Source organism: Homo sapiens, chromosome 3 (assembly GCF_000001405.40).
Source record: "Homo sapiens chromosome 3, GRCh38.p14 Primary Assembly".
Classification (NCBI taxonomy): Eukaryota; Metazoa; Chordata; class Mammalia; order Primates; family Hominidae; genus Homo; species Homo sapiens.
In genome coordinates, this window is record NC_000003.12 from 172314442 (window position 1) to 172332960 (window position 18519).

An 18519-nucleotide genomic window follows, 5' to 3' on the forward strand; every position below is an offset into this window, starting at 1 on the left:
GTCTGAGAATCATGACTTTGAGGTGAGGTTGCCTCATCTCCATATATGCAACCACTAATGTCCAGGTATCCCCTGCAGCCCCATATTTTTATTACAGTATAACAGCATGGATTAGAGTTCCAGAATACTTTAGTCTTTTGTTGTTTGTAATCACCTTTGCAATAAAATGAGTAGAGTAAAATTTTGAAAGTGTTGGTTAAACAAGAAGACAGGGCATCAAGCCCAGCTTTCAAGCCTCTTAAAAAAAGACTTGCATGGAAAAAGAGCAGCAGCCTTTATTTCTGCTGAGATTAGGAATGCTGTGCCGAGTTGACCTTCATGGGAAGATCCACCTTAATCAGCAGCTAACTATATGCTGGGCTCTGAAGTACAAGGGCAGGTGGAACCCTAATGGGGAGCAGAAAACAGAAACGCATTACAGTACAGGGGAAATCTGATCCACCATCTCTCCTCTCTTAAATTCACTGTCATTAATTTTGCATCACTGTAGCATAGAATTCACTTGGAAATTACTCATTAATAGTTCTATACTAGGGTTAACTGCCTGTTATTTCTCCATTAATAACTAACTAGACAACATCTTAATTTTTAAATCAATACAAGAAGTTACTATGACTATGAAATGGTAATTAGCAGCTAAAAACGGAATTTACAGCCGGGCGCGGTGGCTCACGCCTGTAATCCTAGCACTTTGGGAGGCCCAGACGGGTGGATTGCCTGAGCTCAGGAGTTCGAGACCAGCCTGGGCAACACGGTGAAACCTCGTCTCTACTAAAATACAAAAAATTAGCTGGGCATGACAGTGGGCGCCTATAGTCCCAGCTACTTGGGAGGCTGAGGCAGGAGAATTGCTAGAACCCGGGAAGCAGAGGTTGCAGTGAGCCAAGATTGCACCACTGCGCTCCAGCCTGGGCGACAGAGCGAGACTTGTCTCTGAAAAGAAAAAAAAGGAATTTACAGGTGTCATTGGCTTTTCAGCTGTGGCCTTCAGTTTCGATTTTCACCTGAAACAGGTCAGTTTTTATTACTTGAGAAGGTGTGGCCATTCCTTGCCAAGTTCCCTTGTGGTGACTCGTGAGCTTTAGTGTTTAGAGCCATGGGGTTTAATAACTGACCCCGCATTTTTGTAGATTTTTAGCCGCTTTCCTCCTTCAGGAGACACCCCATTAGGAGCAGAAAGGCAGAAGGTCATTTTCAAGTCTTTTTCACTTGAACGTTAGATGAGTCACATCACATTTTTATTTCAGTGTCCCCGCCCCCGTGTTTACACTTTAATCTACAAGCACTTGTCATTCTGATGGGTAGCAGAAAGCAGATCAGAAGCTCCTAAAAAGGAGCTTGGTTAACAGCAAAACAATGACTAGATGCTAGATTTTTCAAGGTATAGGTTCTTTCCACAATGGAGAGTCAGTGAGAGGGGGAAGGCGGACACCATGCTTGAGACACTATACCCGTTGGCCGCACCCACACTAATCCCTTTGACTGCCCATCTTTTTTGGGCACCCTTCCAAGCTACATTGACCCTGCATTGCTTCTCTTTTCCTTCTTCTTTCTTCTTCTTTTTTTTTTTTTTTTTTTTTTTTGAGATGGAGTTTTACTCTTGTTGCCCAGGCTGGAGTGCAACGGCACAATCTCAGCTCACTGCAACCTCTGTCTCTCAGGTTCAAGCGATTCCCCTGCCTCGGCCACTCGAGCAGCTGAGATTACAGGCGTCTGCCACCACACCCAGCTAATTTTTATATTTTTAGTATGTTTCACCATGTTGGCCAGGATGGTCTCCAACTCCTGACCTCAGGTGATCACCCAGCTCAGTTTCCCAAAGTGCTGGGATTACAGGTGTGAGCCACCATGCCCAGCCCTGCTTCTTTTCTTGATGACATATCACTATCTAGCAGAGGTGGGAGTTTTTCTCTAGAAGAAGCTATGGGAGAAGGATTGAGGATATAGAGGGCTCTAGGTTAGGGAAGGGCTTTTAGGAAAAAAAAAACTAGGAACCTCTGGGTTGAGTCATTCATAAATGTCTGCCCAGTCTGTTTTAATGTTCCTAAACAGATCGTGATCTGGCCTTATTCTTGAAAACTTGAGTAAAGGAGTGAATTTTAATGGGCAAATAAGAACTTTTTATTTTAGAAAAAATTAGTTACATAAAGAAAGTATTTATGCAAAGTTGGCTTGTTTTAAGTTCTGCCTTAAGATATTGTTTTAATTTGAACCATACAGAACACTAACTGGTGCTGCTGCAGCTGTCAGAACAAATACAGGTCACCTAAGATCTTGCTATGAATATGTGGCATGGATTCATATTGATGATATATATCAATGATATGATGTTTATCTAAAGAAACCTGAATTAATCGTCTCAGCTTTGTCTCTGTCTTCATCCATTTTGTGCTGCTGTAACAGAATACCTGAGACTGGTTACTTTATAAAGAACAGAGATGTATTTCTTACAGTTCTGCAAGCTGGGAAGTTCAAGGTCAAGGACTTGTATCTGGCAAGGGCCTTCTTGCTGTGTCCTCCCATAATAGAAGACAGGAGGGCAAGACAGCGCAAGCGTGAGAGAGGGAAGGGAACCAAACTCGTCTTTTTATCAGGAACCCACTCCTGTGATAACAAACTCACTCCTGTCAAAATGGCAATGCATTTGTGAGGATAGAGCCCTTGTGACCTAATCACCTTTTCAAGGAAAAAAAAATGACCACCTCTCAACATGTTGCATTGGGGATTAATTTTCTTTTTCTTTTTTTCTTTTTTTTTTTTGAGACAGAGTCTTGCTCTGTCGCCCAGGCTGGAGTGCAGTGGTGCGATCTCAGCTCACTGCAACGTCTGCCTCCCGGGTTCACGCCTTTCTCCTGCCTCAGCCTCCCGAGTAACTGGGACTACAGGCGCCTGCCACCACGCCCAGCTAATTTTTTTGTATTTTTAATAGAGACGGGGTTTCACCATGTTAGCCAGCATGGTCTCGATCTCCTGACCTCGTGATCCGCCTGCCTCGGCCTCCCAAAGTGCTGGGATTACAGGCGTGAGCCACCACGCCCGGCCGGGGATTAATTTTCTAACACATAAACATGGGGGACACATTCAAACCATAACAGTTTCTAGTTACTCATGGTATACCCCAAGCAGGTAATTTAACGCCTTAGCCTCGGCCTTTCCACTGGAAAAACAGTGTCAGTTATCTCACGGGTACGTAAGACTGAATGAGATAAGTTGGACAACAGCCGATTCAGTGTAACGATTGTTCCATATTGTTGATATAAGTTTACCTAAGCAGATGCTAAGATCTGAGATAGGGACAGTCAACAATTAGAACAATCATGTATAAGGAATATGACATTCTTCTGTCAGGAACTTAAACAAGAGCCCTGAGGTTTATGTCACTTGTTTGAACTAAATAAAAACTGATGTTAGTGCTATCGATGGATGTTAACTTGCTATTAGCCTAACTTCTGGACATGACATGCAGGGCACAGAATAACCAGAAAAAGCACTTTGTGGGAATGTGACTACTGGAGTCCCCAAAAACCTTCCTCACTTGTGACCCAGCTAGCCCAAAAGGAAGTTCACATCTGGATACACAGAATAACCAGAAAAAGAGCTTTGTGGGAATGTGACTACTGGAGTTCCCAAAAACCTTCCTTACTCATGACTCAGCTAGCCCAAAAGGAAGTTCACATTTGGTTTCCCTGGTGACTAATGAGCCAACACAGCTGTAAAACACAGTGGACTAAGAATGAAACAGATGCCACAGAAATCAGGGGAAGCATAATTAAAAGTTGAGAGAGGAGAAAAGGCCAGCAGCCGGTAGAACCCATGCCCCTGGGGAGCCATTAGCAGGTCAGGCCAGGCCAGGCAGGCCCAGCAGTCCTGTCACAGAAACCTCCTGAAGCAGGTGGCCAGCCCCAGATTGCAGCTTCTTGGACTTCTGTATCATTCAGGAGGAGCCTTGTTTAGGGATTGAGTTGGCCCCGTAGAAGATAATCAGTAAGAGATCAATTAATCAGACTCCTGCTTAGCTCAAGTGTTGAATAGTTCATATGGATGATCTCTCATAATCCTTCTGAGTGAATTTGCACAAACCTTTTCTGGTTAGATAACAACTGTTCTGAGAATGAAGGGAATGGAGCAGCTACAAGCACAGTAATTAACTAGGTCCCACAGCATGGATGAAGAGAGCCCCCTGAGAATTTGCTTGACTCCAGCTCTCTAAGGTGCCACACTGCCTTAGGGTGGACAGTGTGTTGGTTGGTTTCATGACAAAAGCCAGGAAGGTCAGCTTTCATTCCCCTGCCCAGGCCCACATGCACTTTGGTCATTCTTGGCAACTGTGGGGATTGGAAAGTGGGGTTCTAAGTTCATTTTGGCTCTGTCCATCAGAGACCATCTTTCACATGAGTGCCCACTGCCATGTCTTACGGTTGTTTCAGAAAGCCAAGAGAATTGCTGCCCCACTATAGCTGCTATTGAAGGAAACTAAGCCAGGAAGGATTGAATAACTCAGAGGCATCTTTAGGTGCCACTTCATGATTAAAAGGAGCCCCCTCTTTTAGGGACCTCAGTCTCAGAGATCCACACACCTGTAGCAGATTCTCTGCCTTCTCTCTTTTACCATTTCTCGCATGTGTACATGATGAGGTTGTGTGTTTGGGAAGCAAACTTGATGTGGAGCTTCTTGCTGAGGCTAAATTATAAATCTCCTCTTGGTTCCTGACACCTGATTTATCAACTCGCCTTTGTCATGGCTTCTCATCGTGAGCTGGAAGAAGACTGCCTTGGGCCTTCACTAGGTGGATGGACCAACCCCATCCATCCCTTGGTTCATTTGTAAATTGTACTAACAGTCTGTTCTGAAATTAGGCCCTCGGCTCCCTTGCTCCCCCTTCCCTGAGACAGTCTTAACACATCGATCCTCTCAAAGCATTTGAAAACAGATGAACCTCAATATTTGGAGAAATACATAGGAAAATTTTCTTTGTGTGTTTGTTTAAACCAGAAGACCTAGTGATCATCCTTGGCTATTTCAGGCAGCCAAGCCTCCCCTCTTACAGAAAAGCTAGTGTGCTGAGGGATAAAATGCCTCCCTGTTTATTTGGTAACATGGAACCACAAATCATCCCACCCACTTTTCTTACCTTTGAAACATCCTCTGTGCCAGAGCGTGCAATAAAATGAAAGAGGCGTCCCTGGGGGAAGAGTGGGGTTTGGCACGAGGAACTTCTGAGTCCACCCAAATGCAGAGTGTCCCTCCCTCCCTGTTAGGAGCCTCTTATATATGGTTATGCTGAACACATACGTGCTCTTTTATTTCTGAAGCCAACATTGGTCTTTGATGTTGCCTAGGATCAGCCGGTGCTGGAACAGCTTCTAAATATAGACACTCTAGCAGACTAAATCTTAGAGTCTGGCCGTAGTTCAGTTGGCCAGTGCAACTTTATTTTTTATGTATTGTTGCCGTTTCTGACAGGTTGAACTATACTATTAACAGAGAATGGCCAGCCCAGAATCCTTCAGCCCATGTCTGGATTCAGCAGCCATGGGCCACAAGCACGTGACAACTGATAACCAAATTCATGGAACTTATTTAGCAGACAGTCATCAAACCTGGTAAGAGCAGCTCAGGAAGGCAGCAGGCATGGCTGTGGAAGAATCTGAAAGAGGCCGGGCTCAGTGGCTGACACCTGTAACCCCAGTACTTTGGGAGGCCGAGGCAGGTGGATCACCTGAGGTCAGGAGTTTGAGACCAGCCTGACCAACATGGTGAAACCCTGTCTCTACTAAAAATACAAAAATTAGCCGGGCATGGTGGCGCACTCCTGTAATCCCAGTTGCTTGGGAGGCTGAGGCAGGAGAATCGCTTGAACCTGGGAGGCGGAGGTTGAGGTGAGCCGAGATCATTCCACTGCACTCCAGCCTGGGTGACAGGGTGAGACTCTGACTCAAAAAAAACAAAAAAATCTGAAAGAGAAGGAGGACAGTGGAAAGATACCACACATCAAGAAAACATCAGGAGGAGTAAGTCACAAGACCAAAGGGAGAAAGTTCACCATGAATTCCAGCATCCTTGTGTTGGCCATTCTTAATCTTGTGCCAGGAATGAAGCAGTTATAAAGAGGAACAGGAAGTATCGTTTCCAATCTATTAATTTAAAAGCAGTTGAAAATATCAGCCAGCTTCATCTGTTAGTGCCAGCGGTGTTGGAAATACCCACTTCTAGTGTTGTTAGTGCCAGGGTAATTAGAAATGTTAGTCAGGGCAGCCACAGCCCCCACAGTCTACAGAATTACACTGGCAGGAAAACACTGTAGCCTGAATTAATTGGGATGTGTGTGAGTTACATGTATAGAATGAGCCATGAGTTGTGTTCCTTAATGGGAAACCAGCCCATTTAGAGGATTCATCTTCCCAAGTACTGAGGAAAGCTTTATGAGGATACTAAGTTAGTAAAGAAGAAAAATTAACTTGAAAAAGTTCTTTTGTTGTTGTTTTCAGTCTTTCAACTACACACTTTTACAAATCAACACAACAAATATATTTTTAAACATACTCTAAATATTAGTTGCATTTTATGATCTTAATCAAATACTTTTTATATACTTAGCTGCCAGTTTTCAAGTAGGTAGACCATCTGTAAATTTGTTTCTTCACTGGAACTCTTGTATGTTTGTAAACAGATACCCAGAGAGAGAGGTGGAAAGCTGGTTACATGAGGAAGTCCTTTGAAATGTTCTTTTCTTTGTTGACTCCTGTGGTTTTAGGCTATGTCATACCTAAACTGTCCCCTAGAGACCATTGCGTGTCTGGATTTAAAAATCTCCCAAGAGTTCTCTAAGTTTGGGATAGCATTATTAAAAGTCTTATTTCAATCTAAAATGTGATTCTGTAAGATGAAGTAACTGCATAGCTGTTGATTGGCAATTTTGGTTGATCTTTATCGTCTAGGAGTCTGGTTCTATTTTTAGCTTATACAAAAATAACTTTTAAAATTATTCAGAGAGGTCCTTACTTTGGTGGATGGCTTTGAAAGAAAAGGCATGTACTAAGTGCATGTAGAAAATAGGACCCATCATATGTTACACATTTATTTTGCTTTTGTTTTTGTTTTGTTTTGTTTTGTTTTGAGACAGGGTCTTGCTCTGTTGCCCAGGCTGGAGTGCAGTGGCACAGTCTCGGCTCACTACAGCGTCTGCCTCCCGGGTGCAAGCAATTCTCCTGCCTCAGCCTCCTGAGTAGCTGGGATTACAGGCATGCACCACCACACCCGGCTAATTATTGTATTTTTGTATTTTTATTTTTTTATGTTTATTATTTATTTATTTTTTATAAATTTTTTTTAGTAGAGATGGGGTTTCACCATATTGGCCAGGCTGGTCTCAAACTCCTGACCTCAGGTGATCCACCCGCCTCGGCCTCCCAAAGTGCCGGGATTACAGGCGTGAGCCACCATGCCCAGCCAGACATTTATTTTGTATGCTAGCATGCACATTACATTCCCCCACCTTCTAGCTGTTTACAGTGTAGGAGGAATTTATAAAAGTTTGCAGAAATTCAGAGGGGTAAAACTTCATGCTATAAACGTATATAGACTTCAAAATAGATGAGTGTAATATTGCATAACAAATTACCCCAAAACTTAGAGGCTTCAAACAATCACTTTCTTATGCTTGTGGACTCTGGGTTAGGGATTTGGACAGGGCACTGGGGAGTGGCATCTCTGTGCTCTATCATATCTAGAGTTTCAGCGAGGAGGGCTCATTGGCTGGGGACTGGAATAATCTTCTGGCAGTGTTTTCACTCACAAGTCTAGCATCAGTGCTCACTTTGGACTGGACCTATCTGGGGCTCTTCACATGGCCTGGGGTTCCCACACAGCGTGGCAGCTTCAGGGTAGTGAGAATCGAAAATCAGGTGTCCCAGCAAAAGTTAGAAGCTGTAACACCTTTCCACACCCAGCCTTGGCTTCATTTCCACTCCAGCCTTTTGGTTACAAGAGAGTCACAAGACCACCCGCATTCAAGGGAAAGGGACATAGACTTAGACTTTGTTTCTCAATGGATAGGGAATCACAGAATTTTTAGACATGTTTAAAGTAACCACTTGTGGTATAAGCCTTCTCTTGTCTCCTTTTGGTCCTGAGAAACCATTAACAAATATTTTTTTCTTTATCTTTGTATAGCACATACAGTTTTTTAGGTACTATAACCTAAGACTGTTAGATATAAGGTCATATACTTTAAAAGTACAACGTAACTCTTTTTCCCATCCCTGATTCTTTTCTGAGTATTCTGGAGACAGGGAGAGTGGGGGCAAATGTGTACCCAGAAATACAGTGACAGGATGGACCTCATACCTCATAGCCAGTGCTACTCAGCCAGCCAGTGAGACATGCCTCAGTGGCTCTCAAATACCAATCTTCTCAGCTAGCAGATGGAAGAGATCACTCTGCCTGCTCCCTTAGTGATAAGGGCAGGGAACCCAAACAGACTGTTTATCTCCAGTTAATGTCTCTGCCTCAGTTGTACTTGAAAAGCAGGATCGTGTATTCTGTTCCCTCAGGTGACTCATGATAGTGCAGCAAAGTGTTTTAGTTTTTGTTTGTTTGTTTGTTTGCAGGGAATATAAATGTATTTAAAATCTTTAACAGACAGTTTTTGTTTTTTAACTACAAATTTGAAAGAAATTGAAAAATATTCAAGTAGGTAGTAAGGGGGTAAAAGAAAAAATAAAGATGTTCCTTAAAATATTCAAAATATTTTATATTTATAATTTATCTCCAAATTTCATTTTGGAGAATGGCAGAGCTGGACATGGTAGCTCACACCTATGATCCCAGCACTTTGGGAAGCCTAGTTCAGGTGGAAGGATAGCTTGAGGCCAGGGGTTCGAGATCAGCCCATCTCTACCAAAAAGAAAAAAATTGAAAATTTAGCCAGGTGTGGTGGTGCATGCCTATAATCTTAGCTACTCAGGAGGCTGAGAAGGAGAATCCCTTGAGTCCAGCAGTTTGAGGCTACAGTGAGCTATGGTCTGTTTGTACCACTGCTCTCTAGCCTGAACAACAGAGTGAGACACCTTGTCTCTCACACACACACACAAAAAGTAGAATATTTGGAAACAGTATTTCTCCCTTGTGGGGGGAAAAAGAAAAAGTCTTTGTCCTGGAGATTATAATCACATCTTGGAGATGTTTTCAGGGGTTGATCATTCTCTGCTATGTAGCCACATAGTGCTTTTTATATACTCTCCAAGCTCCCTTCTCTTGCCCCTTTTTTTCTGTGTTTGGGGCCTTTCATAGTCTGGCAAAAAGTTGGAGGTTATTGCCATTCTTCAGAATTTAGCAGGACCCTGTAGGAACAAGAACAATATCTAGACTCCCATTATTAATTAGGACTTGAAACCAAAAATGCATGACCCTTCTAAAAAGTGAGTGAGGATGAGGATGAAGCAAAGGGGAGGCAGGTGCTCATAGAGTATGTAGTATTCTAAGCGTTACTAGGCTGGGACTTCCCCCCAAAGGTGATGACTTCCTTTAGTATGTGAATCTTGAAATGAAAGAGGCACTTACCCAGGTTCAGATAAATGAGGTGTCCAGCTTAGGGCAGGTGAACTCTGTGGTAAGAGTTATGATGACATCAGGGGACAGGTTTGCGCAAGGCACACTGGACGGAACATAGAGTAAGATGATCCAGTGGTGTCTAGAATGTGGATAATACCCAATGTATTTTTGTTTGATGATTGGAAAGGAGAAAGAGGCAAAGCCCTTTCTCCCTTCCCAGGCTTGGGAAGGGCTGATCTGATGCATGCTGTGAATATGAGTCGACTTACTGGCGAGCCAAGTCCTTTCCTGGAGAGCAGTTTTGACCAGAAGTGGTAGACAAAACACCCTCGTCCCTGGTTGGAAAACATTACCCCAGGGTGATGAATTGGTGCTCTCAGGCTAGGTCTGGGTGTGGAATGAAGATAGATAAGCAACAACTGTGAATTAGGTTGAGTGCGAAGAGGAACACTCAGCTTGGGAAAGGAAACAACCCACGTTTGCAATGCGTCATCCTGCGCCAGATTGAGCACCTCAAGGTTTGTCTGCACACAGTTGGTTTGTACTCCAAGATTTCTTCACATTGTAGTAAAGAAAGATTAACCTTGCCCTTGAATGAACTTGGTCTGAGCTGCAGAAACAAGCATTTGGGCATGCCCAAGGTTGCAAAATGGAAACAAGCCAGTGCACCCTGAAAATCTGCCCTTTTTTTGGCTCACAGACACTGGCAGTAGAAAGTTAGGCCAGAACTGGCTGGGGTTATATTGGTTCATGTCCAGTGAGGTCAGTAGCCCAGTGGCTAGGTCTGTTCCAGAATGATCAATGGTGTTCACTCTGACCAGTTTCTCTAATTCAGGTGAAGTATCTTTTCCATACCCCGCTGAGAACAGGGACTCCAGTGTCACCTTAGAGGTTCTGATCCTGACTGCTCATGTGCTGCGAACCTGACCCACCAACGCGCAGAGAAGCGGAGTGCAGCTAGGAGTCTCTTCCCTCAGCCCTGCGGACCAGCTGACTCCCAGGCCCTGGCAGCCCCTTTGAAAGCTCTTACTCTCCTCTGTGTGACACACCACAAGTGGCCTAGCAGCCGTAGCTGGCCAGGATTAGGCCTAAGTCATGGCTGTCCCTGCTGCCTGTGTGTGACCAGATCATTGATGACAACAGGTCTGAAAAGTGTCAGGATGTTACCCATTTCTACTGCAGCCATATTTTAGTAGGGAACTTTGAACAAGGCTGAATTTAAATTATTAACAACTAAGTTTCCGAAGTCAAGTCAGCGTATCTCAGTAATCCTGTGTAGTCTAAATTAGATTTTTTAAAGGCGGGAACGTGCCATAGATTATAATCTCTCAAAATCTCTGGGAGCCACACAGCATATAAAATATGAAAGTTGTCATTTACCATCTCTAAAACTTCACTGACAGGAATGATTTGGATATATTTAACTTCTGATAAACAATGATAAACATTCACTTTATCACTCCTGTCAGTTCGTATGAATCTTTCAGTCCTCTAAAGCATTAGCTCTTTTCTTTTTTAACTCCATTTCTGTCAACAAGAACAGGAAAATGTTTTGTTTATAAATGCTATTTGCAACCTGGGACCCATCTTGTTTTATGAACAGATTCTCCAAATCTTCTATGCCTTTGAACACGGACTTACTCTACTCTAATGCTTAAGCTCCAGAGCCGTCGGAGAGCCTGGCGCAGTAGACAGACCAGCACGCTGGCATCGGATCACTGGAGCCAGTGGCCTTCTCCAGTTCACTTGTTAACTTCTCAGCTGCAGATCACTTTTTGTACTGCAGTGACTTTTGTGAACATTAATTTTTTTCTTTCCAGATATGCATTTTATTTTATTTTATATTAGAGACAGAGTCTCGTTCTGTCACCCAGGCTGGAGTGCAGTGGCGTGATCTCGACTCACTGCAACCTCTGCCTCCCGGGTTCAAGCAATTCTCCTGCCTCAGCCTCCCAAGTAGCTGGGATTACAGGCGTCTACCACCACGCCTGGGTAATGTCTTTGTATTTTTAGTAGAGACGGTGTTTCACCATGTTGGCCAGGCTGGTTTCGAACTCCTGACCTCAAGTGATCCACCTCCCTCAGCCTCCCAAAGTGTTGGGATTACAGGCGTGAGCCATCACACCCCGCCCAGATATGCCTTTTGTATTAAACTTCATGTTATACATGAATATGTTCTTTTATTCAAAACTTCTCTCATGTCTGAAATATTTTAACCTACTTTCCCTTGTTTTTGTTTTATTCTCAATGACTTCTAAAAATTCATCAATAAGCCTTAATTCTTTTAACTGTCAAATATTTGTATTCTTACCTCTACAGACTCTACAGACAATGCTTCCAAAACTGAATTCCAGGGTTTTAACAACTCTGGATCTTTCTAGGTGTCCCTAAGTTTATGCACATAGTAGTACATCCTGGAAGTTGTTATGATAGAAAATTCGGCATGCTTTGTCTATATGGGTTGTAGTTTATATAGCAGTTGTTCCTGATTTTAACAATTGGTCCTGACTCCAAGATTTATGTTTTGTTTGTTTGTTTTTGAGATGGAGTCTTGTTCTGTCGCCCAGGCTGGAGTGCACTGGCGCCATTTTTACTTCTTTCACAAGTAGAATTTTTTTAAATGTTAGCAATATAGGAAGATGTCTTGAAGGTCACACAGTTCCCCTTCTCCTAATTCTTTAGTGAGCGTGAGTGCTCTGGCTCTCTTAAAAGTCATTTCTCCCCTTCGAACCCTCCCCAGTCTTTTTCTCGTTTGAGCCACAAACAGTCTGGTTTCTACTGTATTAAAGCAAATTAACCTAGTAAGAAACACTGACTTTTTTTTTACTGGCTACAGTTCTAAGCACAAGAAAAGGGGAAAGGAGACCAAATAAAGAAATAGGAAAAATGAGGCATTAAAGGGGAGCCAACACGGGGTTTGGAAGGGATGAGAGCTTCCGCCATGGCAGGATGGGCCTTTCTTGCACTGCTTACTCTGAGTTCAGAAATAGAGGAGGAAAGAAGGTAGATCATGCCACAGCCTGAAATGGATACGACACATACCAGGGCTCCCATAGAGTGTGATCGGATGCTGGGTGTAATTATTCAAGTGTATGCATTTGAATAAATCATCTTCCTCAACCTCAACACTCAAGGTTGAAGTAAGCATAGTGTGTGACATGCCAGCCACATAGTGAGTTCACTCAAGGAGCAACTGAGAAATGTCAGGCTTTACTTGCTGCACACCCCCAACTCGGCCACCAAGTTGCATCTGAATGCACCTTGAACCCTTGATAAAATGAACTTTCAATCTTAAAGACTGTTAGAACTCTCACTCCCTTCCATTGGGAAAGGTGCTTCCTGGCTCTAGGAGGTGGGTGGGGAAGGGGTTCCTTTGAGGAGGATGAATGTGGTGTGATTTTTTTGGGGGGCGGGGCGGGGCAGGAGGACGGAATCTCACTCTGTCGCCCACACTGGAGTGCAGTGGCGCGATCTCGGCTCACTGCGAGCTCCGTCTCCCAGGTTCACGCCATTCTCCCTCCTCAGCCCCCTGAGTAGCTGGGACTACCAGCACCCGCCACCAAGCCTGGCTAATTTTGTTTTTGTATTTTTAGTACAGATGTGGTTTCACTGTGTTAGCCAGGATGGTCTGGATCTCCTGACCTCGTGATCTGCCCGCCTCAACCTCCCAAAGTGCTGGGATTACAGGCGTGAGCCACCGCGCCCGGCCAGTGTGGTTGTTTTTAATGTGCTCACCGTAGCAACAGTCAGGCTAGTGGTGTGTTCATTTTATTTTTAATTAAAACCACCTGGAATGTGTTTTAGTGGTATTTGGAGACCTGCTGAAAGGAAGGAGATGCTTAAATTTGTTTACGTAAAAAATGTGCTTGCTTTGTTTTTTGTGAAATAAATTGAGAACTTCAGACACATTGCTCAAGGCCCTGGGCCTGTCCAGTTAGAATGCTAAGATCCACTCAATGTTAGCTTATGGTTTTCTTTTGCATGAACATGGATAAGATAGTAAGATAATGTGGATATGGGTAGGAAATATTCTAACAAACTACTGATAAGAGTATTACATGCCTGTGAGTGTGGCATAGGGCGGTTAGACTTTTTCCTTACTTGTTGAACCTAATACGAGACCCCACTAGAGTGTTTTATTTTTACTTTAACGAATTTGAAGTATCACATAAGGCTAGGAAGGCATTCAAAATACATTTCTAGCCTGACAAGAAACTTAGAGTGACTGTAATATACATAGATTAATTCAACCAATGTTCCAAGTGCTTATCATTCACTTCCACCCTGCAAGCATTGATTGAGCTCCCAGTTTGTCCAAAGCACTGTTATGAGCAAAGCAGACGTGGACAAAATGATTCAAAGGTTTGTGACCAGTAGCAGCAATCAGTGAAGAAACACCATCACTAGAATGTACTTGTGAAGGTATTGGAGGCCACTGCATGGCAAGAAAGATACAGCTGGAGAGGGCCTTGTATGGCACACTCAGCTGCAGAGACGGGTCTGTAGGTGCTCAGGAGTTACTGGGAAAGGCTGTGTATTTTCAGAGCCAGTGACCCCTCTGTGGATGCAGTAGACTCTTGGTTGATCAGGCTGGGCAGTTTGGGCCAATCTAAGTAAGGAGGAGGATCTTAGAAATTGTGATCGTTAACTGGAGCATCGTCTTGTGCCTGAAAGGACCTTTTTTTATTTTATTAACCAAAAAAACCACAGGTACAGTAAATTACCTGTCTCAATTACAGAATTTTCTGTAGTGCCTTTATGTTAGAGATGAGATTTCATTGTAGAATGCTTTATTTGCAACATGGACACTTCCCTGTAAGTTTCTATTGTTTTTGTTCATTCAAACTAGGAAATTAAGCAGTTATTCAAGATGTTCAAGATGCTCCTTCATTTATTTAGGGTTATCTGTTGTTTTTTTTTTTTTAAGTATATGCATTGTTTCATTGTTTACTTTTAGGGAAAAAGAAATAGTGGTTTCAGACAGTGCTTCTTCGGGAGCCAGAAGCACTGCAAGTTGACAAAGCTTTGTCCGGCAATGGGGTACACATTCAGGCTGGCCGCTCGAAACGACATTGGTACCAGGTATGACGTTTCCTTGTCCTCTTGCCCTTCAGCCTTTGGATGGTGATCCTGAGCCTTCTTTTACATAGCTGGAAGGCATGAGGAAGCCTGCTGCCTCCACACTAAATCAACTGGAGGTTTTCCAAGAGGGAATCCTAATCAGAGGAGAGAAGGCCTCCTTTAAGCTGGTGAATGTCACTATGGCCTCTGCAGTCTTGCAAGCTGTATTGCGAAGGCCCCACTAGGGGTCTCTAAGAACCAAGGTGAAGGTAGCAGTACAGATCTTGAAAGGAATTCCTCTTGGAGCTTTAATTTTTTAGATCACATGCCTTTTTCTTTTATCACTTTAGCAAGCTCTTCATTCACTTGCCTTTTTTCAATTATGTGAGTGTTTCCTGGTACAAAGAAAGAGATGCTGGGCCAGCCATTGTTGTCAAGCCCAGGGCAGATACGGAATTGGAGAAAACCTGGACTGTCTTAGAGGCCTCTGCAGGCCTCTAGGCTGTATGAGAAAGGCGAGAACGGGTGTACTGTAAGGTATCAATTGATTAAAGAGGCTTTGAAAAGGCCATGTTTCAGTTGCACTTGGGGGGTAACTCTTCATTAAGGGAAAAATCTTTTTCTTTCATCACTGCTTGTTGAAATCTTCTTAAAGGTTTTGCACATCGGTGGTCCCCAACCCTCTTTCCAACCTAAAGAACCTCTTTTTAACATCACAAAGTTTTACAGACCTGCCTCCACCACCATGGTAGCCATTACAGCTTCAGAGTTCACTGGTTGAAAAAATACCGACACAAAGCCCTTTATGGCTCAAGAATTTTTAAATGAATTGGAAGCATCCACAAACTTTTGAAAAACAGCACTGTATATATTGTAAAACATTATTTCATCAACAAATATTTGTTGCTCACATTGATTTGAAGGCTCCTTGACCCGTAACTTGATAAACATTGCCTTGTGCTATACCTTCTTTCCAGTGCTTTTGAGGGGGGAAAATGAATTCTTAAGTACAATTGTCCTTTGGTTTCCACAGGGGATTGGTTTCAGGACTTCCCCCACCTCCCTGCCATGAATACCAAAATCTATGGATGCCCCAGTCACTGATATAAAATGGCATAGTCTTTGCATATAACCTACACACATCCTTCTCTCCTTAAATCTTCTCTAACTTGCTTATAATATCCAATATAATGCCCACACGTCACTTCATTCACGTGGACTCAAGATGCAGAACCCAAGGATACAGAAGGCCAACTGTATATTGTCCTGTGACTTGGTGTGTGTGTCTAGTAGAAGATCATGGGGTGGGGGGATGGGGAAGCTGAAGGTGGTTATAGGGAATATCACACACAGCATCCTTACCTGGCTTTGCTTACTCTACCTGCTAGGCTGAGTTGGGTAGTGTGCAGGCTGAGCCTTCCTCTTTTAAAATGCCAAGCCTCTTCACATGCTTCTAACTGTGTGCCTCACTTTCTTTCTCTACAGTGGTTATAGCCAAGAGGTGGTGTGCTACACATTAGGAAATATCCCTCAGATGCCTTCTGCACCAAGGCTGGTTCGAGCTGGCATCACATGGGTCACGTTGCAGTGGAGTAAGCCAGAAGGCTGTTCACCCGAGGAAGTGATCACCTACACCTTGGAAATTCAGGAGGATGAAAATGTGAGTTTTACAGATTTTATACTTCTCTGTGTTTTGTACGAGTCAGTATTATTATAGCTACAGGGCACCATGAAATTAGATTAACTGCATCAGTTCAAAGCCAAACTCTTAATTTCTGCCTCTGTCACCACCACTACCAACACCGGCCTGTTCTTTCCCATCTCTGTAAATGACATTTCCATCCTTTCAGCTGGGGAAGCAAAAACTCTTGGAGTCATCCTTGATCCTATATATAATCAGAAAATCCTTTTGAATCTTCCTTAGAAATTATTTAGAAATTAACCATTTTTATCTCCACAGCTACTATCCTTTTATGAGCCACTCATCTCACCTGTGGATTATTGCAATAACATAATATTGTTATTGGATTATAGCCTCTTAATATTCCTAACTTCATCCTTACTAGGCTTCAGTCTGTTCTCCATACAGAGCCTGGGTGGAGAACATCATCTTGTAAAATACAAATAGATCATGTCAGCACCCTGCTCAGAATCCTTCCTGTCTCAGTGCCTTCCCCTCTTTTTCAGAGTAAAATCCCTAGAGCTCTTACAATGCCCACAAGGTCCTGTGTGATTGGGCTCTCCATTACTGTCCTCGTTGCTTCCACTCACTGTAGTCTTATTAGCCTCTAGTCTGTTCTTTTTGTTTTGTTTTGTTTTTGAGATGGAGTCTTGCTCTGTCACCCAGGCTGGAGTGCAGTGGCGCGATGTTGGCTCACCTCAAGCTCCGCCTCCCAAGTTCATGCCATTCTTCTGCCTCAGTTTCCCAAGTAGCTGGGACTACAGGCGCCCGCCACCACACCCGGCTAATTTTTTTTTGTATTTTTAGTAGAGATGGGGTTTCACCATGTTAGCCAGGATGGTCTCCATCTCCTAACCTCATGATCTGCCCTCCTCAGCCTCCCAAAGTGCTGGGATTACAGGTGTGAGCCACCGCACCCAGCCAGCCTCTAGTCAGTTCTTTAAACACACCGTGTGTGCTGTGGCCTCAAAGCCTTTTCAGTTCTGCCTTCTGGCCAGAATGCCCTTCCAGATGTCTTTGACTCCCTTCCCTCATTTTCTTCAAGTCTGTTCTCATATGTCATTTCTTTGGGCAGTCCTTCCCTGATCACACTGTAGAACAGCACCACCCAATAGAACTTTCTGCAGTGATGGAAATATTTTATAATTTGTGCCATCCAGTATGGTGGCACCTATACACATACAACTCTCGAGCACCTGACATATGCATGTTGGCCTATAGTATGGAGGGTTTGTGCTTGTTTGTTTGTTTTGAGATGTAGTTTCGCCTTGTTGTCCAGGCTGGAGTGCGGTGGTGCAATCTTGGCCCTCTGCAACCTCTGCCTCCCAGGTTCAAGTGATTCTCCTGCCTCAGCCTCCCGAGTAGCTGGGATTATAGGCACGCAGCTCCACGCCTGGCTAATTTTGTATTTTTAGTAGAGACGGGGTTTCTCCATGTTGGTCAGGCTGGTCTCGAACTCCCAACCTCAGGTGATCTGCCCACCTCAGCCTCCCAAAGTGCTGGGATTACAGTTGTGAGCCACCAAGCTCAGCCAGTACTGAGTTTTTAATTGTAATAAACTTAAATTCAAAGAGCCACATATGGCTACCATATTTACCTCCAGCAGCTGTAGAAAGCCCTCACCAGTTCCACCACTGTATCCTCCTACCTAGCTTTAGTTTTTGTCATAGCACTTAACACCATGTGACATACATAGCAGCTTTTCTGTATTGTCTTCTCCCACTGGAATGTGAGCTTCTTGTGGGCAAGGCCTTTTCTGTTCTTGGGCAGTGCTGAATCCTTAGAGCCTAGAGGACAGCCCAACACAGAGAAGGTACTAAGTAGTATTTTGATGAGTGAATGATAGAATGATAGAGATAGAACTATTGAATGAGTTCCCTGAGTTCAACTTTTAGTGGAATGTTTGCCCTCCTAAAGGATTGTGCCCTTTCCCATCTAAGCTGTCCTTTCTCCCATGGCCAGAAGAGGGCACTGTGTGGTCAGGAAGCTCAGCCACACTTTACTGCATAGCACATTGCAGTTTGATAGTAAAGACCTCGGTGCAAAGGGCTTTTTTCATGACAACATTAAAAATGTTAAATGTATTTTCAAAAGTTGCTTAACTCCTTTGTCACAATAAATTTGACCAGACCCAGGAGAAATTACAGTGTGATGGAGATAAATTTTTATTTAAAGCTCAAGTGCTATCCACAATACTCTGGGCTTCTGATTTTTCTCTTTTGCG

General features: G+C 43.5%; 1 protein-coding gene across 11 annotated transcripts in view, besides 1 other annotated feature; it reads left to right on the forward strand.

Annotated features, from left to right (window-relative positions):
• Nucleotides 1-18519, forward strand: part of FNDC3B (fibronectin type III domain containing 3B) — a 362092-nt gene that overhangs the window by 274864 nt on the left and 68709 nt on the right. For all 11 annotated transcript variants that reach the window (NM_022763.4, XM_017007062.2, XM_017007064.3 and 8 more), the window contains 2 exons: nucleotides 14511-14635; nucleotides 16100-16274. In NM_022763.4, coding sequence (NP_073600.3) covers nucleotides 14511-14635; nucleotides 16100-16274 — 300 coding nt within the window. The remainder of the gene's footprint in view (nucleotides 1-14510; nucleotides 14636-16099; nucleotides 16275-18519) is intronic.
• Nucleotides 245-1143: an enhancer, noted in NCBI's record as "H3K27ac-H3K4me1 hESC enhancer chr3:172032476-172033374 (GRCh37/hg19 assembly coordinates)". NCBI's record gives its function as "activates a minimal SCP1, AML or CMV promoter by ChIP-STARR-seq in naive H9 embryonic stem cells {active_cell/tissue: H9 hESC(naive)}" and the evidence as "EXISTENCE:reporter gene assay evidence [ECO:0000049][PMID:30033119]".